This window comes from Homo sapiens, chromosome 1 (genome assembly GCF_000001405.40).
Source record: "Homo sapiens chromosome 1, GRCh38.p14 Primary Assembly".
In the NCBI taxonomy this organism is placed as follows: Eukaryota; Metazoa; Chordata; class Mammalia; order Primates; family Hominidae; genus Homo; species Homo sapiens.
In genome coordinates, this window is record NC_000001.11 from 84,869,454 (window position 1) to 84,893,551 (window position 24,098).

At 42.8% G+C, this 24,098-nt stretch overlaps 1 protein-coding gene across 1 annotated transcript in view; it reads right to left on the reverse strand.

Annotated features, from left to right (window-relative positions):
- The window catches only part of LPAR3 (lysophosphatidic acid receptor 3), an 81,605-nt gene extending 57,852 nt beyond the window's left edge, over positions 1-23,753 (reverse strand). Inside the window, exon 1 of the mRNA NM_012152.3 lies at positions 23,563-23,753. The gene's annotated coding sequence lies outside the window, so the exon portion shown is untranslated. The remainder of the gene's footprint in view (positions 1-23,562) is intronic.
- Between the last annotated feature and the right edge of the window lie 345 nt (positions 23,754-24,098).

Consider the following 24,098-nt stretch of genomic DNA (forward strand, 5'->3'; position numbering starts at 1 on the left):
AGATTGCACAGGATGGAATACTATACAGTCCATGAAAAACATACTCACTATGAAGTTGCGGTAATACAAGAAAAAGCCCATGTCATTGCTTTAATATACAATACACATAACAAAAATTTATTTGTGTTGACTATATAGAAAAAGATAATGAAAAAAAATCTCAAAATGTAAATAGTTAAGAATGGTGGAACTGTGAGTCATTTTTTAAAAATTCTTTCTAATTTTTTCCATCTACCACATTTTCTGTAATAAGTAAATCAAGACTTTTAATTAGAAGCATATATTCTACTTAATGTATTCTATCTTCTACAATTATGGCTTTGAAAAATCAAAATTAATGTTCAAAGGAAAAGCCTCAAAGATTTGCATATGTTCAGTTTATTCTTACAAGCACAGCACACTTCAGGGTTTTTCAGTGACAACAAAAATAAAATAGTTTTCTACTTAATCTTCACATAACCAAAACTTGACTTGCAAAACCCTGACCACACAAGGATGTAGCTTTCACCAATTCTCCTATAAAACATTGCCTAATGCCATCACCACAGATCTCCCCAGTACACGTTATCTACAGATTATCATACTGTCTTAGCTAGAATTACCAAAAATTTTTAGCAAGCTTATAACAAATGACTGATTTATTATTATCTCTTGGCCTCCCTTAACCCTTAAAATATGATTCTGTGATTTTGAACAAATTAATCAGTTACTTCAGTCCTAGTCTCAATGTCCCCTCCACAAAGATACTTTTCTGACTAATTCAAGATAGCTCCACAGCTCTCATTCTCAGAGAGCCCTTGGTTTACCTCCATCAGAGCTACCCAGTTGCTTGTGACCCAGTATTTTCTTTTGTTGCTTAAGAATTTATTGTCCATCTCCCACCCCTAGACCGTTCCACTCCAGCAAAGCAGGGAACCTGCCTATTATGCTCATATCTACAGGATCAGTATTTGTTGAATGAATGAATGAATCTCTGTCTTACACTATCTTTTTCCATGTCTAAAATGAAAAGGTTCTGTGAAATGCCTTTGCTGACTTATACATCAATCACTAAGTATGACAAGTAGCGAGCTCTGTCACCTATTAACTAAGTGTTTTCAGGTACATTACTTAATATCTCTACTTTATTATTACTATTTTTCATTATTAATATTTGAGTGCTTATCTGTGCCAGGTGCTGAACTAAGCATTTTACATGGATTATCTCATGGTATCCTCCCAACAATGATGTAGATACTATTATTACACCCATTATGCATTTGAGAAAACTGAAGCACCCTTGCCTAAGGTTACACAGCTAGGAGTGGGAGACCCTGGATTCTATTCAGGCAGCCTCGTTCTACAGCCTGCATTCTTATCTGCAACACTATACTTTATCTCCACAGGCATGTGAAACGCCAGACAGAACCAAGGACTATATTTATACTTACAAGAGTTACAGAATTACCAAAATAGAATGATCTGATCAAATCACATTAAAAGACTGCCCCATGCTATAAAAAATAGAGGGCATTCTAAATAGCCTTTGGCCTTTTTTTTTCTTAACCCTGAGAAGACACTTTTCTGAAAATATGTTTTCAACTTTTATGGTAAGTAGGATACAATATGGTCAATTTCAGGACCAGGTTAACATTGCTCAACTTTACTTCTGTCAAATCCCAAGCTGTTTTTTGTTTGTTTGTTTTTATACTAAAGGTTTAGAGGGTCTGATAGTTCTAACCTAGAAAAAAAAGATGCTAAACTTTGGAGCAATTACCACAACTTCAAACTTCAGTAATTTAAGACTTCATAAAATGATGGTTTAGAAAGTCTATATGTGGAATCCAAATGAAAACTTCATGAGCAAAGCTTTCATTTAGACTCTTCCAAACTTGCTTCCCTGAAAAAATGTCCAGCCAGCCCAGAATGTGGAAACAATTATGAGAATTAAGACATTTGAAAACCACTCAAGCAGCTTTTATTTCTAGCTACATCTTATGAGACAAGTTGCTGCCTGGCTTTTTAGCTGGCTTTCAATAACAATCTCTCCTTCCTCCTAGAAAGAAGTATGGTACATCAAAGACATGGTCAGTCAATACTGAGCATATCTTCTTTCTCTGTGGTTCACAAATGTAGACCAGTCCTCTCCTCTTAGGAAACTCTATCCAGATGGGAGTTGGATGTTAGGTTAGTTGGTACTCTAGCAACCAATCCTGGGTCAGCAATCACGTCTGTTCACTGAATTCCTTTTAATAATTCATGTTAATGGCAAAATCAGGATAGCATGGAAGATTTAAATCCACATGAAATCCCAGAGGTTCATTTTAGCCATAGTTTCAAGGCCTTTGCACTTGCCATTCCCTCTGCCCAGAAGACTTTTCCCCAAGATACCCAGGGGGCTCATTTCTCTACCTCATTCCTGCTCAAATTCATTTCCTCAGAGATCCTTTCCCTGCCACTCTCTAAAGAGCACCCCAAGCCTCCACCCGCTGCTGCACTTAAGCCATTTACCCTGCTTTATTTTTCTCCACAGCATTTCTCCATACCTCAACTATCTACTTGGGCTACGGTCTATCTCCCCAACTTCTATTTAGTCATTATGTCTCCTTAGGCTCCTCTTGGCTGTGACAGTTTTTCAGATTTTCCTTGTTTTTGATGAAGTTATGCTTAGGAAGGCAGAGAACGTATGTTGTTATGGTGCCTGCAACAATGCCCAGCACACATTAGGCACTCAGTAAATACTTGTTAAATGTAGAATTAAATGAAGTAATGCTTGTGCACTCATGTCTACATGCTCCCTAACCTTTACCCAAATTCAGCATTATTACTTTATGCTTCTTCTGCATATTCTCTAATTTGGGTCTCACAACCCATTTATTCCTCTGGGGAGACTTGGCTCCAAGTCCTGCAAGCTGAGAGGTATAAGGAGTGGGTTCCCTACCTCCAGAAAAGCAGCTCACCTGAGCAGACCAGTCAGGGTCGTTCTGAAGGACAGTCTCACAATAGAGACCTCTCTCTATTAGTATGAACACCAGAAACAAAGATTCCTCTTTGAATAATACTTCAAAAGAGGGACCCAATGGCCAAAGCTACAACAATCCAGGCAACAAAATAAAGTAGTACTGGATTATAACCCGAAGTATAAACATCCATGAGTCCATACTGACATAAATAAATTATTGAAAAAAATAATAAATGGAAAGATGAGACAAATCTCCCAGGCAGAAGAATACCAAATAAATAACATAGATATTCCGCTGTAAAGGAGGGGGAGCATAGCTCCTTTATATGTAGGCTGTACACAGGGACCTCCTTCCAAAGAGCACAATATGGAAATGGGGCGGGCGGTGGGGGCAGTTAGTGACGTCTCAGCAGAGAAACTTGACAAACACTACTTCAGCCAGATGATCAAGGTCAACATCAACAGTGATAAGTCATATTGCTAGTCTGTAATCTTGATAAGATGTATTACTTCATGATGAAGATCAGAGAGTAAATCACAGTTTACTGTGATCTTCCTCCCAAAAACCCATAACCCCAGGCTAATCATGAGAAAAACATCAGCTAAATCGCAGTTGGGGAACATTCTACAACATTTCTGACCAGTACTCCTCAAAACTGGTACTCATCAAAAACAAAGAAAACCTGAAAAACGGTCACAGCCAAGAGGAGCCTAAGGAGACATAATGGCTAAATAGAATAAGGATCCTGGGTGGGATCCCGGAACACCGAAAGGATAGGGGTAAGAACTAAGGAAATCTAAACAAAGTACAGATTTTAGTTAACGTTAACATATCCCTATCAGTTCATTAACTGCAACAAATATACCACAGTAATGTAAGATTTAATAATAAGGGATACTGTGTGTGGGAGGGGTTATAACATAGGAACTCTCTGTACTATCCGTTCAATTTTTCTGTATATAGAAGACTGCTCTGTAAATAAACAAATATTAAAAATAACTTTTAAAGAGGAGGCATGTTGTTGACTCTACTACACTAATTTTAAAATAAATAAAGCCCCTGTCTTTCATAAGCAGTTACTTTACTCTTTGATATGGTAAAATAAACAGAGGAGTGGCAATTTGTTCAAAATTAAATTTAAACAGACATTGTAACTGAGAATGAGATGCCTCTGATATTCTTGGATAAAGCGAATATGTTTATTAGAGGGGTGCTTGTTAAGGGTAGGGTTACAATTCGGTTTCTGTATCTTCATACTCTAGATCATTTCTCTTGAGAAAGCTAAACCCTCAGTGTTGCTAAAGTTTGGGTTTGGTTACTCTGCTTCTTTTGAACAGTTTTTTTTGTTTGTTTTGCTTGTTTGTTTTTTTTTTTTGAGACGAGTCTCTGCTCTGTCACCCAGGCTGGAGTGCAGTGGCACAATCTCTGCTCACTGCAGCCTCCGCCTCCCGGGTTCAAGTGATTCTCCTGCTTCAGCCTCTGGAGTAGCTGGCATTACAGGCGCCCGCCACCATGCTCAGCTAATTCTTGTATTATTAGTAGAGACGGGGTTTCACGGTGTTGGCCAGACTGGTCTAGAACTCCTGACCTCAAGTGATCTGCCAGCCTCAGCCTCCCAAAGTGCTGGGATTACAGGCATGAGCCATGGTGCCCAGCCTCTTTAGAACAAATCTTAAACTCAGACACCTAAAATTGCTCTGATCTGGATCCTGTTTCACGTATCAACAAAGTCTCCATAATACTGGTCAGTAGAGGTTCCAAGAGGAGAAGCCACAGAGAGGCAAGCGTACAATGGGTGTGCTTGGGAAAATACTTAATACAAACGCAAAGCTTAAGCATCTCAGGTCATCTTCAGCTCAGAGATGGTGACACGCAGGGAAAACTGCAGCCTGAGCTCAGCAGAATAAACAGGTTCTTGTGTCAGTGCAAGTTTTGGAGACCTTTAGGCAGGGAGGACAGCCCATGGCACGTCAGGGGGCTCACCTACTGTTCTCTCCCAATCAAGTGGGGTTTACAGAAGGTCTTGGTATATACACACAGCTTCTACCCTAGGACTTGTTTAACAAACAACTAGAATCAAAGATATTGTTCCCCAGATGTTCCTGATGGCCAAAGACTGTCTTAAGCATATTCATTAAACAGGAAAGCAAACATGAAAACATACAGAATTGAACTAAATAAAAGAGGTGACAGATGAATTTTATGGGATCAGCAAATTCCTTGACTTAGTTTATCCAAACATAACACAAATCTTTACTTGTGTTTGCTTTATATAAAATTTTAATATTTGTCTAACTCATTAGGCTAGAAAGATGACTAATACATCTTGTCCCTTGACTCATAAAAGGACAGAAAAAGTAAAAGATGCTAATCAAAATGCTTAAAATTAATATTATTTACACATAATATAACTGGACATGGTCTATTATACAGCAAATAAGCCTTAGACCATTGTATAATCACATTTCAGTAGCTTTACTGTTTGAAGGGGTTGAGAATGTCAATTTTTTTTTTTTTTTTTTGAGATGGAGTCTAGCTCTGTCACCCAGGCTGGAGTGCAGTGGTACGATCTTGGCTCACTGCAACCTCCACCTTCCTGGTTCAAGCGATTCTCCTGCTTCAGCCTCCTGAGTGGCTGGGACTACAGGCCCAAGCCACCATGCCCGGCTAGTTTTTGTATTTTTAGTAGAGACGGGGTTTCACCATGTTGGCCAGGCTGGTCTCAAACTCCTGATCTCAGATGATCCGCCTGTGTTGGTCTCCCAAAGTGCTGAGATGACAGACGTGAGCCATCATGCTTGGCCGAGAATGTCAAATTTTAAAGTGTGAACATTCACAGCTGAAAGAGATATTCTTCTTATACAAAGTACCTTGTCATATGCAAAAATATATTTTGAGACATTTCAAAGTGCTTGTTTATACCAGTGACTTCTGCTATGGTATAATTATGCCCCCCAGAGTTCATGTGTTGGAAACTTAATCCCCAGTGCAGCAGTGCTGAGAGGTAGGACTTTTAAGAGGTGGATTAATGGATTAACACTGTTACTGAGAGAGTGGATTTGTTATCACAGGAGTGGGCTCCTGATAAAAAAGAATGAGTTTGGCCAGATTTCCTCTCTGTCTCGCATGCTCGCCTCTCCCTTCCACCCCTCCACCATGGGATGGCCCTTGCCAGATGCCAGTGCCAAGCTCTTGGACTTCCCTGTCTCCAGACTCTGAGAAATACATTTATTTTCTTTATAAATTACCCAGTCTCTGGTATTCTCTTTTATAGCATCAGAAAATGAACTAAGGCAAATTCCCATGAAAAGGAAATTCTATTTCTTTACATTGTAAAATTCACAACAGACAAAATTTTGGTTTAAAGTATCTGTCCTAATCCAACTGTGGTACCATATTCCCTTTCTCATTCCATTTTTCATAACCTGTCTCCTGTCTCCTATCTTGAGAAGGATAGTCAGGAGTCTCTTGCTCCATATGGTTTGTTCCAAATAATCCTGTTGCCAGTAACAGGTTAACAGTGACCTACAGCAACTCCTTCTTGCTTCTGGAGATCATACACACCCAGGTTAGTGCCTGTCTGAATCCTCAAACTCTACATAGGAAGGAAAATAATATTTTTAAAGCATGCAGCTGTAGCGGGAAACAGTTATTCTAATCAAGGCTTCAAAGATACTAAAGAAGAGCACTGTTACTGCTAAACAAACAAGCCAGAGGGGCTCCTCGAGAATGCTATGCCTTGGTTAGGAAGCAGCATCCATCACTGGAGAGGAAGGCTCATATCTCATACCCCTCCTCTCCTGCCTGCCTCCCTCTCCTACCCCGTGTTCTGTCTGGTAGTAAAGGTAGCCAGGTCGTGTAAATGAATATAACGCACATTTGAATGTGGTGCCTAATCTCATCACATGCATCTTCCAGCTCCCCTCCCTACCCTGTATCCTACAGGGCTGGCCCTTAGGGACTGCTTCCTTGCTTTCCAGCTTCTGCCAATGAGAGGAACAGCAAGAGATTGGAAGGCAGGGAGGATGAGGTTGAGATACTGATTTCTCCTGCCTCCTCCCCTCCAGGTTGCTGTAGGTTGGCTGGGTTAACCACTATCAGGCATCCCTCTATATAAAGGTAGCCTCCCCTCCCTCCTCTAGCTTTCAGGTTGAGAGGTGTTAACCACTCCTTGCTGCTTCTAGCTCGGGGACACTGTACCATCTCTTGTTGGTTTCTACGATCTCTGCCCTCACTCTGTAAATGGTATCCCCTCCCCGCCGCTCCGGTTACCAGGTTGACTATATCACCTCTTGCCTGTGGAACTCTACAGTTGTCTTTCAAAGTACATTGTAATAACAACAAAAACTGTTATTTGAAAAGTCATACATGTTATGGATTTTCTTAAATATTTTAGAATGATCTAGTACACTTTTCCTAATTATAACAACTCTCAGAGAAAGAAAGGGGAATATATCACATTCCCAAGGGCATGGACCAGTAGCACAATTCTTTTGATGTCCTCAATGTCCCCGCACAAATACCAAAACCCTAGTAAATTTCTCTGCAGATAGTAAGTGATTCAATAAATGAGTGATCTACCCATGGTTTACTGCATACTGGAATCTACCTCACAAATGTCCTTCAATGTCATTCAGAATCAGTTCCAACTCTAACTGTATTCCAGCCTTGTGCACCATGGAAATTTCATACATGATATGGATTTACATTTTAATTCTAAGGATTAGCCACATTTGAATTTAGACACTACAGAGAAGGAAGAAATAGACTTTTCTTATGATGTCTGGCAAGGGGTAAGGTAATGACAACCTGAGCCAAGGGGAAGCTGCAGCCAGATGCAAGGCAAAAGCAATGCAAATGTAGCTACAGAGCTGCACTTAGGTGTGCACTATGGTTCATCCTACACAGTGGTGTTTCCAGTGACTGGCCAGCCATGGGGGATGCTGGGTAAGTGTTGCTCTCAGAAAAGCTCTCTTGCCTGCAGCCTTAGTGGAACTACTATCACGGCAGATGATCTTTAGACTCTGGGGACATAAGTCAGACACAGTCCCCAAGTAGACAAAGCAGCTTGGGGGCTCAGAGCACAGAGAAGGGGGCTCAGGAATAAGCTCTTCCATATTCCACAGCCTCATCTCACTGTAGCATTCTTAACCTCTGTTCCTTCACCTACTCCTCCCAATCTGAATACAAATATGCTTGGGGAAGATCAGAGGCAATCCTCAACTTTTGAACCTCTATAATCCGTACAACTGGAATTTTTATACATGTTACATTGATGCTCCTAAAATGGATTTTTATTTACTAGATTCGGACTCTCAGTCAGGAGGTGGGGTGGGGAGTCCCCTGACATTGCACTGTATATGCATTCTTCACCTACGTGTCAGCCTTTACCACCAGACCATGAGCTTCTTAAGGAAAAGAACAGTTTCTGACTCATGATTGTGCCCCTCATGTCCAGTACAGTGGCATGTAGTAAGTAGATGCACAACAAATCTCTGGTCGATGTGTTAGTTAGTTGGTTACTTTCAGTTAGTTGGTTATAAGGGGATTTGGAAACCTGATGACAATTGTGTTGAACAATGTTAGGATGATACAGCAGAAGAAAGCAAGTATAGGGTATTCTTGAAAAAAAAAAAGGCTGAGAAATACTTGTGACCTCACATGACATTCAACATATTTTATTAAATATTTGACTTAACCTCACTTCTAAATTTGTTAGGAGCAGGGCTGGTATCCTTCTCTCTCTGATTTTTGAACCACAAACAGAATCTGACATAAATTTTTTTTAAAGTATTCAATTTGATTGAATAATTCCCAAATCTTCTGTTTACAGTCCTTATTTTCTTTGGTTTCACTGTGGAAGCTGACAATAGTTATTCCCTTCTTCAAACTCCCCTCCTGCCGCCTCAGTGACTTGACGCTCCTGTTTTTTCCCAATCTCCTCAGTATTCCTGTCTCCTGTTTTTCCACCATTCTTGAATTGCAGACACTTCCAGACTTGGTTCTCAGCCCTCTCTTCTTTTCCCTTTAAATTCTCTTCTACCAAAAATATTATTGCTTAAGTTATTTCCTCTATGTGGATGACCCCAAATAATTACCACAAGCCCCGACACCTCTCACGCCTTCTCTTTCATGCTAAGCTACCACTTGCATGTCAGGAACCCAATGTGCCTTGGAGCTAAAAGAAGAAGAAAGGCACCATGAGGGCAGCATGTATGCACTCTCAAATGAATTTTCAATCTACCTCAGCTCAGCTGTTGGAAGATAGTGGGGCCACCATAAGGAAAAAAGTTTCAACTTTAAACACCAGGATTTTAACACAGAGGATAAAATCATGGTGACTTCAGGACCCCAGGGTTGTTTGTAATGAAGCATTGGCAAGTTGGCAGGATGGTTTGGAACTGGAAAGCCTCCGTCCAAACTACACTGGCTAGGACCCTTCACTCTCCCTCTCTCTGGTGTTTTCCTTGGGCTCAGGGTAGACTGCTGAAGCCACTTTACCTGAGGCCTAGTCCTGACTACTATAGTGTTCCCTGCCTTTGAATCTGCTCCTGACCAATTACTCTGGACATAGCTTTGTGAATTCAAACTCAGCTCCAAACCTAGGAATCTGGTTTCTGAACTTTCCCACTGAGAATGCTTCTTAGCCTCTTCTCACTTGAACTTTGCATGGTTAACCTCTAGCCTCGACCCTCAGGCTACATTAAAGAAGCTGCAGAACCCCAGGCTCCATTTCTAAAAAGTCATGCAATGGGTGGTATGACACTAAACTCACAGCTGTTCTAACTCATTTGCCCATAATTGCATATTGCCCTGTGACTTCTTTTGTAATTATTTCTTTGTATTATTATTTAGCTTTATGTTCTGTAGGACAGACTGCTAAATCACATTTTCCTTTTCTTTCTTTTCTTTTCTTTTTTCTTTTTTTTTTTTTGAGATGGAATCTCGCTGTGTCGCCCAGGCTGGAGGACAGTGGCGCGATCTAGGCTCACTGCAAGCTCTGCCTCCCAGGTTCATGCCATTCTCCTGCCTCAGCCTCCCGAGTAGCTGGGACTACAGGTGCCCACCACCATGCTCAGCTACTTTTTTGTATTTTTGGTAGAGACAGGGTTTCACCGTGTTAGCCAGGATGGTCTTAATCTCCTGGCCTCGTGATCCACCCACCTCGGCCTCCCAAAGTGATGGGATTATAAGCGTGAGCCACCACGCCCAGCCCACGTTTTCCTTTTCTTACAGAGTAATGGGCTTATAGCTGGGCACCAGGACGCCCAACTGTACACTCGGTTTTCCAGCCTCCTGGTACCTCCTTGCAGCTAGGGTGGCTGCGTGACTAAGTTCTTACCACTAGAATGTAAGCATAAATGAAGTGTGCTGCTGCCAGGTCAGCCCCAAAACAATGAAGGTGCCCTCCTCCATGCTCCTTTCCCTACCTGTAAGTTGGAACATAAACAGGCCTGTGATCCACTTTGAACACCCAGCAGGGAAAAGCCTTTGGGCAGCCTAAATCCACGTAGTCCATGGACTAGTTTCTATCAACAAGAAAATAAGTATAGAAATTGAAAATAAACACTCAGAAATGTTTATAGCAATTTAATTACTCTGATCTGATCAATCTGATCACTATATAGTACATGTATCAAAACATCACAATGTGCTGGGTGTGGTGGCTCATGCCTGTAATCCCAGCACTTTGGGAGGCCAAGGTGGGAGGATTGCCTGAGGTCGGGAGTTCGAGACCAGCCTGACCAACATGGAGAAACCCCATCTCTACTAAAAAGTACAAAATTAGCTGGGCGTGGTGGCACATGCCTGTAATGCCAGCTACTCGGGAGGCTGAGGCAGGAGAACTGCTTGAACAGAACCAGAACATGAGCTTGTTTTGGCTGCTCCTTGCAGCTTTTAGCAAGCGAGACAAGAAAGAGATGAGCTCAGGCAAGACTTTTTGCAAGTACGTAAGCAAAGGTGGAAAGGAATGGACAGTGTCCAGAAACGGAGGGCCTTGGAGAATCAGAAAAGTCAATTGCCCGTGTAGCTCCAAAGAGTAGAAAATAGTATTACCACTTGCAGCCTATCTCAAAGACCTCTCAGTAAACTGTTGCAAGGGACAATGCCAGGCAGGTCTGTAGTAATGATCAGAGTATGGGTGCATCTTCCCATCCAAGTCCATGCTGCAGAGGACCTCAGAGTACACACTACTGAAGAGAGGCAGAGAGATGAGCCAAGCATGCAAGCTGGAAAATAAGTCATGCTTAAGAGCTTGACCCAGAGTGGGATTTGGATGCGGTAACTGACCTGTGGAACTGACTAGCAGTCTATCAAGTTTATAAGGAATTGTAGTACCAGGGAAGCCACAGTTTGGCCCAGAAAGGCCCACGTTCATTCTCCCCCAAGGAGTACACACTTTCCACACCCTTCAAATGTGGCCACAGAGGGTACAGAAGAAGGAAGGACTTCCCAGGGGACAAAGACAAAGTCAAGGCTTCTGGGAGGCCCCACCCAGAGAGGGGAAGCATGGACCAACCATGGAACTGACTCCACTGCCAGGGCAGGGAGGTCTTAATAATTCCTGCCCAGCAGGGTTTCGTCATTTTTAGGCCCCTGTTACTTGTCTTCAATTCTTCTGAATGGGAAGTTTTATGGTGGTTTTCTTGTTTCTACTTGTCCACTGAATAGTGGATGTTTGTCAGAACAAAGAACAGAAAGGACATTTTAGAGTGAGTATTTAAAACAGAGGTTAGAGAAGGGATAGCCAGACCTGTGGAGTTCTGGGGTCACCTGCACGCTGAAGGAAAGCATGGCAGGTTGTGAGGCATGGTAGGGGCAGGATGGTGAGGGGAGGGAAGGGGAGGGGAAGCTTCAGAATCAGCTGGACCTGGGTCAGATGCAGGCGCATCACTTTTAGCAGTGGCTCTCACCTGGCACACTGCTGATCTGGCCAGAACCTTTTCCTTCTCTAAAACTGGCATAATCATGACAACTGTGTAGGATTGTTGGATGGACTAAATTAAAGCAATTATTTCTATAGTGCTTAAGGAAATGCTTAGTACACAGGATGCACTCAATAAATGGCAGACAGCACTTCCCAAGAAGGTTAGATAACTCAAAATTTCTAAAAAGTTTGGTGAAACATACAACTGGCATTCTGGGAGATTAACTGTTCATGCTCTAACACCTCAATTTAACAAGGAATGGTGACAAAATCATCCTGTAACTACACTAAAATAACTACAGTCCAAGAAAGAATGTCCCCCTGCCTGAGTATGGGCTCAGTGCTGCAGTGACTAAGCTTAAGACAGTACCACATTCACTCTGCTGTAGCTTGAAACAAAGCAGGGAGGCAGGATTGGAAAGGGGGAAGAGGAGGGAGAGGAGAAGAGAGGCAATGCAGTACAGCAGAAGAACACAGGATTTAGGTCCAAACACTAGCAGATAAGCAGGTGAGCCGAGTATTTAAAGAGCATGGCCCCCACAGCTAACATCATACTCAATGGTGAAAAACTGAAAGCTTTTGCTCCAAGATGAGGAACAAAGCAAGGATGCCCACTCTTATCACTGCTATTCGACATAGTATTGGAAGTCCCAGCCACAGCAATTAGGCAAGAAAAATAAATAAAAGTCATACAGATTGGAAACAAAGAAGTAAAATTATCTCCGTTCATCAACAACATGATCTTATATGAAGAAATCACCAAAGATGCCACCAAAACACCCATTAGAACTAATAAACTAATTCAGTAAAGTTGCAGGATACAAAATGCACATACAAAAATCAGTTGCATTTATTTCTATGCACTAACAACAAACAATCCAAAAAAGGAAATTATGAAAACAATTAAATTCACAATAGTATTAAAAAGAATAAAACCCTGACAAATAAACTTAATCAGAAAGGCAAAAGACTTATACACTGAAAACTATAAAACACTGATAAGGAAATTTTTAAAGACACAAATAGAGGTAAATACATTTCATGTTCATGAATCAGAAGACTTAATACTGTGAAAATGTCCATACTACCCAAAGCAATCTATAGATTCAATGCAATCCCTACAAAAATCTGAATGGCATTTTTTACAGAAATATTAAAAAATCCTAAAATTCATCTGGAACTACAAAGGACCCTGAATAGCTAAAACAATCATAAGAAAGAAGAACAAAGCTGGAGGCCTCACATTTCCTGATTTTAAAACATACTACAAAGCTATGTATGGTAGTATGGTACTGGCATAAAGTCCAACATATAGACCAGTGGAAAAGACTAGAGAGCCCAAAAATAAACCCACACATACATAATCAACGGATCTTTGACAAGGGTGCCAAGAATTCACAATGGAGAAAAGATAGTCTCTTCAACAAATGGTGCTATACATATGTAACAAACCTGCACGTTGTGCACATGTACCCTAGAACTTAAAGTATAATAATAAAAAAAAATGGTGCTAGAAAAAAATAGATACTCACATGCAAAAGGGCATGGCCCTGGAGATAGCCAGACTGAGTTTAAAGCCTTGCTTACCAACAAGTTAGTTATCTTCTCTATCTTAATTTCCTCATCTACAAAACGGGGATAATAAAGGTAACTTCCTCCTAAGGCTGTTAGGAGATTTAAAGGTGCTTAGACTAGCCCCTAACAAACAGTTCTAATTTAATTATTGTTATTATCAGTGGGATCTGAGAAATGGAGCCTCGATTTCCTTTTTTGTAAAAGGGAGATAAGATCTAACTTGTCAGGTTAGTGGGACAAAGTGAATGACGTAGCAAATGTAAAGCCCCAGTCCACTTCAAGGTCTAGAGGAGTCAGAGAAAGTCCACTGAGCTCCACGGTGAGCTTGTTCCCAAAAGGCTGGGGAAAAGGGACCCCAACAGAGAATATTGGGAAGAGGAGACCAAAGGAAGAATCCTTTCCCTCACACTGGGTGGGTCACCACAATAACACCCTAAAGCCAAAGCCTTCTCTCTTCTACCAATCTAGTCAGAGAGTCACTAGCTGGTGTTTTTCATTACCTTTTAGTCCCAGAGTCCCAGATGAATGTGTACAATCAGGAAAGAGGGGTTTAGCCAGCTGGGTTGAAAACCTAATGTTTAACATTCTTACTATGTTACCATACTTCCTCTAAACCACTCCTTCAGGATCTTGGAGTAATCCACCAAAACACATTCACTGATATACTAGTGAACAAATTTCAAAGTTTACATCTCTTTCCCCATTTGATCCCACAGTGAGATGGGCAGTTCAGCATTCTCCATTTTACAGAGAAGAAATGTAGAAATTGGGGACTGATTCACCCTGACCAGCCCTCATCCTTCTGGCCCAGGGATTTTTTTGTTTTTTTTTTTTTTAAACAATACTGACCACTGGAGCCTCTTTTTGGAAGCAGTCTCTGCCACCTGACCCCCAGAGAAATGTAAGACGTAGATTTGTTCTCCATAATGACATTAATGCCTTTTGCAAACATTTACTGAATCTAGAAGAAATATAATTGCAGAAAGTAAAAAGTTTCCTCTTCAAAGTTTCCCTTCTTGTTAAATAATAAATCATAAATGTTAGAAATAATAGTTTCTTTTAAAATTTTTCTTCAAGCCTCCTTGCTTTGTGCTAATAACTCTTTGTTAAGCATGTAGCTGTTGGACATGCTCACAGGCATGTTCCAGCTCACAGCCTATGCCCCTTTCTTATTTGGAAATGTTATTACTTCTTTAAATTTTTCAAAAGCAACTTCCTCTTTTCCTTTGTTCTCCCTTGCCTTTACCTATCTAAAAAAGTTTTAGGCTCTTAGCAAATCGGGTATCAGTTTAGACTGTGAGGTTCGGCTCCAGCCAGTGGATGCAGGACACAGCAGTGAGGACAACCCAAATGTGTAAGGGATAAATATGTCTGCTTTTCCTTTGTTTGGTGTACTCTCGTGGCAAGACTGCTGGTGAGTATACCCTTTCCGCAGAAAGTAAAAATTGCCTTGCTGAGAGAATTAAATTTATGTTCAAGCGCTATTTCTTTGTGGCACCGGGGAACAAGCATTTTGCATTTCTAACATAATGATTGTGGTAAATGTCAATAAAAATCTTGAAGCACATCTCTCCTTAGAGTTTTTGGTAAGAGTTTATGGAGGAAAATCTATATAATCAAATGAAAATATCACAGTAAAACTCTAAATGCATCATAGAAATTAGCAACCATTAGTCAGTTTGCCTGTTTCAGAGAAAGCTCAGAAGAAACTCAGTTTACCTCTACAATGTTAAATGATGTTAACACCTTCTCCTAAAGCATTTTACTTTCCCCATCAACAAAACAGAGTATATCAGCTGAAATAGGCCACAGACCTCATTGTCTGTCTGTACGAAACTGGGGCAAAAATGAACTCAGAAAGACAAGTAATAACCTGGTAGCAATCCATGGAAAGTTAACCTTGCTGACATTCCTCTTCACTTCCCTCTGTTGGATGTTCCTGGAATTTGCATTTGTGGAAAGTTGCATACTTGCAGTGAACAAGTTCCACTGGTCCTGTTGTAGTGGATTCCACCTAACCTTTTATTCCTCTCATCCCTGTCCAGCTAACGTTCTCTCACTGTTCAGCATATGTACGTCAAAGACAGAAGTGCATGAAGACATGTGTAAAGATGCAAAATTCCCCCAGGAAACTCATTATCTAGAGCAGCCAGGGCCAATCCTCTCCTCCTCCCAGGGATTCCTAGCAATATCTGGAGACATCTGCATCAGTCATGACTTGGGGGAGGGGGGTACTATTGGCATCTACCGGGCAGAGGCCAGGAATGCTGCTGCACACGCTACAATGCACAGGCCAGCTCTCCACAACAGAGAAGTATCCGGTCCAAAATGTCAGTGGTGCTAAGGTTGAGAAATCCTGACCTAGAGGGTGAGATGAGACATATAATACAGGGTTAAGTGTGGCAGAGCTGTAATAGAGCTAAAACTGGAGTGCTATCAGATTGATAACATTTAAACAAGCGGCTATTACTTGCCAACAAGTGTTGGCAAGAATGTGGGGAAAATAGTACCCTCATAACATGTTGGTGAGAATGTAAACTGATAGAACTTTGGGGGAAGGCAATTTGGCAATATCTAATGAGACTTTAAAATATATACACTATTCCTCTTTGCTTTCCTTCCATTCCTATTTTCTTTCTTCCTTTCCCTTCTCTTTTCTTCCTTCCCCAGAACACAGCAATCAGCATGTAGCTGGGAATGCAACGTGAGGCTGGGGAGTTTGGGGAGGTACATAGAGACATGAGCTATGGCTGGGAAGAGCTGTGAGCTAGAGGGACTGGAGACTGATGATTAAGCTACATAGAGACACAGGCTAGCAGGCCTGGCAGCCGAGGACAAGAGGCAGTGGCAAAGGTGGTGGACACAGAGGAGGCAGGATGACCTTCACATTTGTAAGACTGGTTACTGTATGCAAATAAGCAAAAATATTGAAGATAATGAGAGTCAGGTTTTCTAACTGCCAGAGAAGATATGTACAAACATATAAAGGGGGAAGAACAGAAAGCTCTTTGGGTGTTAGATTGAAATTGTAGGTATAAGTATGAATCATGATTTTATAATACACAGCCTAATATAGAAAAATTTATAAATGTGTGTACACATATACACATATATTTCCTAGCTCTGTCCTCTGAGAGATCTAGAAGCAATAATACCCCAGTAACAATGGGCACATCAACCTCCTATGTATTGGTGTCTAAATACAATTCTCATATTGCATATTAGATCTCAAGACTTATTCATCCTACATAACTGCAACTTCGTACCTTTTAATCTACATCTTCTGTTTTTCCCTGTTTCCACTAATGTACAACACAAGGACTACAGTTACTAATACTGTATTGAGGCTGAGCATGGTAGCTCATACCTGTAATCCCAGCACCTGGGATGCCAAGGCAGGAGGATGATTCAAGGCTGGAGTTGGAGGCCAGCCTGGGCAACACAGCAAGACCCCTCCTCTAAAAAATATTTTTTAAATTAGCCGGGAATGGTGGTGAGCACCTGGAGTCCTAGCTACTTGGGAGGCTGAGATAGGAGGACTGCTCAAACCTAGGAGTTAGAGGCTGCAGTGAACTATGATCACGCCACTGCACTCCAGCCTGTAGTACAGAGCAAGACCCTGTCTCTAAAAAAATTAAAATTAATAAATATTGTATTCTGCTAATTTGCCAAGAGAGTAGATTTTAGGTACTCTTATCACAAACACAAGAAAGGTAACTATGATGGGCATGTCAATTTGCTTGACTGTAGTAATTACTTCATTACATCTATGTTTATCAAGATAAATACATGAAAATATCATGTTGTATGCCTTAAATATATAAAATATAAATAAGACAAAAGTACCATTCTCTACTAAAAGGGAGGCCTAACTAGGTCAAGGAAAGTAGAAGATGAGTCCAGATGATCTGGTGGAGCCAGAAAATAAAGAAATGCTCAATGAATAATAGGGATGTGTTAAAAGGACACAGGAGGCAGCTCCAAGGGGTCCCCATTGGCCAAATTGAGCACAATTTGAGCATTAAAATAAAAAACAATCGTGAGACTTCAACTTATTGAATACATAAGGAATCCATGAACAGTTCTTAGTAAAAACATAACAGAAAAATAAAGTTCTTCCTTATAGTAGTATGCCAACTAACAAATGTAGAAAGAGTGACGGTGATAAAGAATCATCACTTGAGGCTGGGTGCAGGGGCTCATGCCTGTAATCCCAGCACTTTGGGAGGCCAAGGCAGGTGGATCACTTGAGCTCAGGATTTCGAGACCAGCTTGGGCACCATGGTGAAACCAACTCCATCTCTACAAAAAATACAAAAAAAAAAAAATAAGCCAGGTGTGGTAGTGTGCACTTGTAGTTCCAGCAACTTGGGGGGCTGAGGCAGGAGGATCACTTGAGCCCAGGAGGTTGGGGCTGCAGTGAGCCAAGATCATGCCACTGCACTCCAGCATGGCAACAGAGTGAGACCTTGTCTTAAAAAAAAAAAAAAAGAATCACCATTTGGCAACATTCATAGAGGTGGCTGATTCAGGCAGACGTCATCAATAAATGGTAGTTTCTGTAGGTACAGGTTTAATGAGGAACAGGCTATTTGCATAACCCTAGAATAGTTCCCCACAAACACTAGTACAAAGGTGTTTTCAAACACCTTTGGGGAAACAAAGGGAAACGAAGGAAAAATGGCGAATTTAAGGTGAAGAAATCTGGCAAACACCAACATAACCAGGTGATTGAGGTCAATATCCCAGCAGTGGGATGGGTTGGCACCATGTGCCTTCTGTTGTAAGAAGCTAAGAAGAGCTGAGTTTCATTTCTGAAGGATTCCTGCCAAGAATGCATGACCTCAGTCAGGCTGTGAAGAAATACCCAATACAGCCAGGTTGGGAGTCATCCTACAGCATGTAGGACCTATACAACTGCAAACACTTTAGGAACAGGGAAAGTCTGAGGAACCGTTCCAGAAGAGACATGGTAACTAAATGTAACATGAATCCTAGATCAGACAGGTAGAAGAGACATTTGGGGGATAACTGACGAAATAGGAATGGGCTCTGTGGATTGGATGATAGTGTTTTGTATCAATGTCCATTTCCTGATTTGATGGGTGTACGCTGGTTATATAGGAGGACAGAGTGCTTGCTTTTTTTTTTATGCTGGAGTGTTTTCAAGAGTGATGGAGAATAATGTCTATGACTTCCTCTCAGAATAAAGACTGATGATGTATATTTTATATATATATATATACATACATACACACACACACACACACACACACACACAGAGAGAGGCAGAGACAGAGAGAAGGAGGGAGGGAGAGAGAGGGAGAGATTGAGATTTCAAACCTAATGCCATGGAGACATAGAAAAAGATTATACTACTTATTTTCTCTTCACCAGACCCATGTGATAGTTTTTGTCCAGAGAAAGGCCTTCCTTACCCCCATTCGACGAACTGACTTACTAAAAATCAAACAGGGCAGGAGGTAAATGATTCACTGATGTGCTCCCAATAAATTCTATACTTGATCCCTTGCTTTGGTTTTCTATAACTAGTCACTGCCAATGGCTTTGAGTCTTAACTCTGGCTTTCTACCTCCTTAGGGAGTGAATGCTGCTGATAGACTCCGCTGCCTATCTTTGAATTACATGGTCTGAGTCTGTCTGGGGGCAGCTCCAGAATTTCTACAGAGGATGTGCTTCGGGATAGCTTGGCTTAAAAGGGGAGACCAGGGGCTTGCCTTAAAGCTGCATTTATAAAGCAAATACACTGCTTTTATTTAGACCGCATGTTTGCTTGGAAGGCCTTTGGACCAAATAGTGCACTTATGGAGGGGCTAATGTGCCCTCCAACCCAGCCCTGCCACCTGCCAAGCCATCCCTTGATAACTGGTCAATCTGCACATGGGTGAGTCAAGGCCAGGGCTAGTAGAAGCTCCAGCTTAATGTCCCAGGGAACAATGTAGACACAGGACTAGCTGATGAGTAATTAGAGGGGTTGATGAACATCCTCAGGAAGGGGTGGGGCAGGCTGTGCTGGGCAGGTTGCTTTCCACAGTGACACCCAGTCTGGCCCAGCCTGAGGTGTACAAATGATTCACATCTGAAGAGGGGTGACAGAATCATGGGAGTAGGGCAGTATCAGGGGTCATGGGCAAGGGAGGAGTTCAAGGTTGTAGATACACAGGACAAGAGGCCAGCCAAGGAAGAGGAATAAAGAGGAGGACATAAGACTGGGGGTGATGAAGAGAGGGGTGGGTATAACCCAGGATGTCAGAACCTTCCCCTCAATGGTACTAAATCCCCTCCCCCACCCTCCAGCTGGCTTGCCAGGACAGGTAGAGAGCAACAAATATCTTTCAGACTGAATTAAGTAATTAGCTTAATTTGGGGGTGGGGGAGCAATGCCTTTGGTCAGTTTAGAACTTTGCAGAGTAAACTAGAGACCCAAGTCAGCAAGAAGGCACAGGGGAGTGAGGATGGTATAGGTGGACCCAATACATTGTCCAACATTGCCATCAGCACCCTCCTCCTGACCTGTGGGATGGGTGGTGGCCAGCTGTTTGTGTTTGTCCACTAAGAACTGAGATGCGCAGACAGTACAGGTAATTCCAACACGAAATTAAAGCTTCTTTGGAACTTTGCCCTATGCCTTCGATCATGTAGTGTTGGGTAACCTCAGTCCTGAAATTTAACTTCCTCTCATATTCCCCACAGAGCAGTTTCTCAACCTTTGATGCTATTTCCTCCTCGAAGTCCAGTATGATGTCAGAGGACGGGAGAGAGGAATATGGAAGAACTGCAGCAGTGCCCCCTTAGCACTCAAAACATGCTTGTGGAGATACTGCCAACCCCCAATAGCCAGAGCTGAGTGGGCCTGCCTGGGGTGGCCCACATCTGGATGTCCTGCCTCTTTAATTCCAATGTTTATGCACTCTTCACAGGGTACAAAGCTCTTTCACGTACATAAGTTAATGGAACTCATTAACAATCCATGTAGACAGGTAGAAAAGTAATTATTATCCCCACTATATAAATGAAAAAAACTTAAACATGACAATCTATTCAGGGTCACAAGAACTCACAAAAGTGGGACTAGGATTCAAAGACAGAACCCTGTGCTCCAAGTACCTCTAGTCCACCGTTTGTAAAAGCACAAAGTCTCTGCACTTATGCAGATAGCTCCCCAGCCCCATCACCACCTCTGCCATCCACAGCAGGACTGAGTTCCAGGTGACTCCTCCACAAATACAGAATCCAGGATGAGGAACAAAGGATCATCAAGGCCGGAAAGGGGGAGGCTCAGTACCTGCAGGAGGAATGACGAAGGGAGGAACAAAAGGCCCATGGCCAGGAAAAGAGAAAGCAAGTAAGAAAAGTGTGTATAACATCTCTAAGTCATCTAAGGCTTAGAAATCTTTGCACTTTTACCAGAATATACATTTGCACCCATGTTTACACAAGTGTTAATACTTAAATTTTTATCTAGGAGGAAAAGAGGGCAACCAGCATTTAAGGAGTACTTCCTGTATATGAGAGACCATGCTCAGTGCTTTCTCTTTTAATCTTGGGAGATGGATATAATCTTCATTTTTACAGATGAGGAAATTAAGACTTAGAGAGGTGAAGCTATGTGCCCAAGGTCACAAAGCTTGGACTGGAACAAAAGCTGGTCTGACTGCAAAGCCTTGGTCTTCCATTTATACTGCATTAATAATGCCTTGGGCCTGGTCTCTGCCATCTAGAATCCTGCAAACAGACTTAACCACTCTGTTGGGTATAATCACAGGCCAGAAAGCATTTGAACTAATGTATACTCCAAGGAGAATGGCTAATGGGTAATCTGAGGTACAGTAATTCCCATTTCAGTTATAGTGATTCCCCTTGCCCCAGCCCAAAGAAATAAGAGGCGGGTCTTAAGTTATCACGCACTGCTGCTCCTCAGCAGCAGGCTGAGAAACTTGGGGGAGAAGCAGCCAGCCTTAGGCATGTGTGTATAAGTGATGTTGAGAGTGTGTGTCTGGGTGCTGCCTGGCTACAATGCTGTGTGTGCATTTCTTCCACTGTGCACGTGTGTTTCTGAAAAATGAGATGGAGAGTTAACATGCTGTAGTTTCTTAAACAGATTCCGGTGAACACACATGAAAAACAATCTCATACTTTAATGTTTTAAATTCAGTCTCCATTCATAGAAAACATATGCAGGCCTGTTCTAACAAATATCTTGCAGAACAGCAAGATATCTAAAATAGGTCTGATCTGATAAAAAAAAAAAGAGTGGTAGTTGATAAATGCAATTGAAAGGTTTAGACAAGAGGAGTGTCATATGTAATTAAATCAAAACCTCAAAGTTTCAAATTCTAAAGACAAAGAAAAAATTTTTGCCAAAATGACCTATTTTCTTAGTTATATGATAGTGACAATCAATGTAAGTGTTGTCCAAATAGTTAGACGTCCAGATCTCCACAGGATAACTAGTTCCTTGCTGTCTCAAGGCACAAGAGACAACTCTGGAAGCTTATCTCAAGTACACAACTCTGACTGGCAGGGTTTGCTCGCTCGTCTTTTTAGTATAGTCCAGTTTGTTTAGACAAGCCTGGGGTTAACAGAGCCAAGGTGTGTGTTTCTAACCGTATCACTTCTGTCCCAAAAAGAGGAAAACTCTGTTTACTGGACTCAGGCCACTAAATATCAGATCCACTGCCCATGGAAAGCAGGGTTAGCAACTGTTGATGGATCAATGGAAAATCCAGCAACTCTTCTCAGCGATACAAAAGTCCATGCATTAATGAAACGTTGTGCGGTACATGGAATTTGTAAAGAGGAGATTGATTGTCTGTCTGTAATTGACATTTACTTTATTCTCTGATACAGACTAAGTTGGAACCGTGAGAAAGCCCTTTATTTCTAAACGGCATCTCAAGACCAGGTAATGCTACTTTCGGAGGAAAAGGAGGAAGAAAAGCGTTGTAATGACAATAACAAATTACGGGGGAAACATTTCGTGGAAATTACTCAGTTTAAAAAACTGACCTAGCCGGGCGCAGTGGCTCACACCTGTAATCCCAGCACTTTGGGATGCTGAGGAGGGTGGATCACGAGGTCAAGCGTTCGAGATCAGCCTGGCCAACACAGTGGAACCCCGTCTCTACTAAAAATACAAAAAATTAGCCTAGCGTGGTGGTGGGCGCCTGCAATCCCAGCTACTAGGGAGGCTGAGGCAGGAGAATCGCTCGAACCTGGGAGGCGGAGGTTGCAGTGAGCCGAGATCGCGCCACTGCACTCCAGCCCGGATGATAGTGCGAGACTGTGTCTCAAAAATAAATAAATAAATAAATAAATAAATAAATAAATAAATAAATAAAAACTAACCTACAAATGCTTTTCAGGGCCATTTTAATGATTACCTTAATAAGACTAAATTGTTTCCAATATTCACAGTCACTCCTCAAATTACATGCGTGCGGAATTTCTAAGCAATTTTGTGTAGCTGCAACTTGTTGAGGGAAAGCAATAAAGTAACTCTGCTACAGAACAAAAGCACTTTTGTCTCGTGGTGGTGAGGGGGCATACCCTGAACAAACAACCCCGACAGTGTTGCTAGTTACTAGTTCCCGAATCTCTAGAAGCCTGCACATGGTTCAAGCTGTTCCCCAGCGGACACAGCACAGTACCAGATGTAACTGGAGGCTGAAAAATGTTATATCCCTAGGCTTCACGAGAGAACCCCAGTTTCCTAATCACCATCGATGGCAATGAGACTGAGTTTGGAAAGAACCACGTGTGCAAAGGCAGACGCAACCCGTGCGGCGCTCTCCTGGCCTCTGCGCCCAGCCCGCCAGCCCTCAGCAGCGGACGCAACGCCGATTTTGCATCTAGATTGCTTTTTGCTCCTAGCGGGGAAAAAGGTGGGAAAAGAGCAAGTTGTGCCATACACCCGCCGGGAGAGTCTTGTCCCGGGGTTTGGAGTGGGTCTGGAGCCCAGGCTTGCACGCCAGGCAACCCCGAAAAGCCGCAGGCTAGAGCCCTGCAGGCGCCGCTGCGCCCCGGCCTCCCCACGACGCACGCCCTGGTGACTGCGGCTCGGGGTACCCTCCCTGCGCCCGGACCCTCACTCACCGCTCACGTTCACCCGCGCCGCCGAGCCCGGGAGCGGGGGCCCCTGCGGCTGCCGCATGCCCTCGGGGTCGAGCGCGACGGGGCGACCGGGCGCCGGGCTCCAGCCGGGCGCGGAGAAGCAGCGGAGGACGCGGCGGGCGGGCGGAGCGCCTCCTCTCCAGCGACCCCTGCGACGCGTCCAGAGCCAAAGGAAAGTTTGGCGGTGCGAGGGAGGGACCTAGGGACAGCGGCCCCTCCCTGCCCCGCCCCGCCCCGCCGGGTGCGTTCGACGTTCCCACTGGAGAGCGTCCCCAACCTGCAAGGCCGCGAGCTGCGCTCAAAGGGGCCCGTGCGAGCCGCGGGAGGGCAGCGCTCTTGCAGACGCGTTCCTGCCTGGGATCGTCCCCAGGTGGGTGGTCGGCCGGCCCCGAGAGGGAAAAGCGCCCACTAAAGGACCGCTAGTACCCACAAGCCTCACGGAGCCATACCTCGGAGCTCCGTATTAGAACGCAGTCCCTCTGCCCCTCTGTCCTCAGAGATTTGTTTGAAGTGGCTGC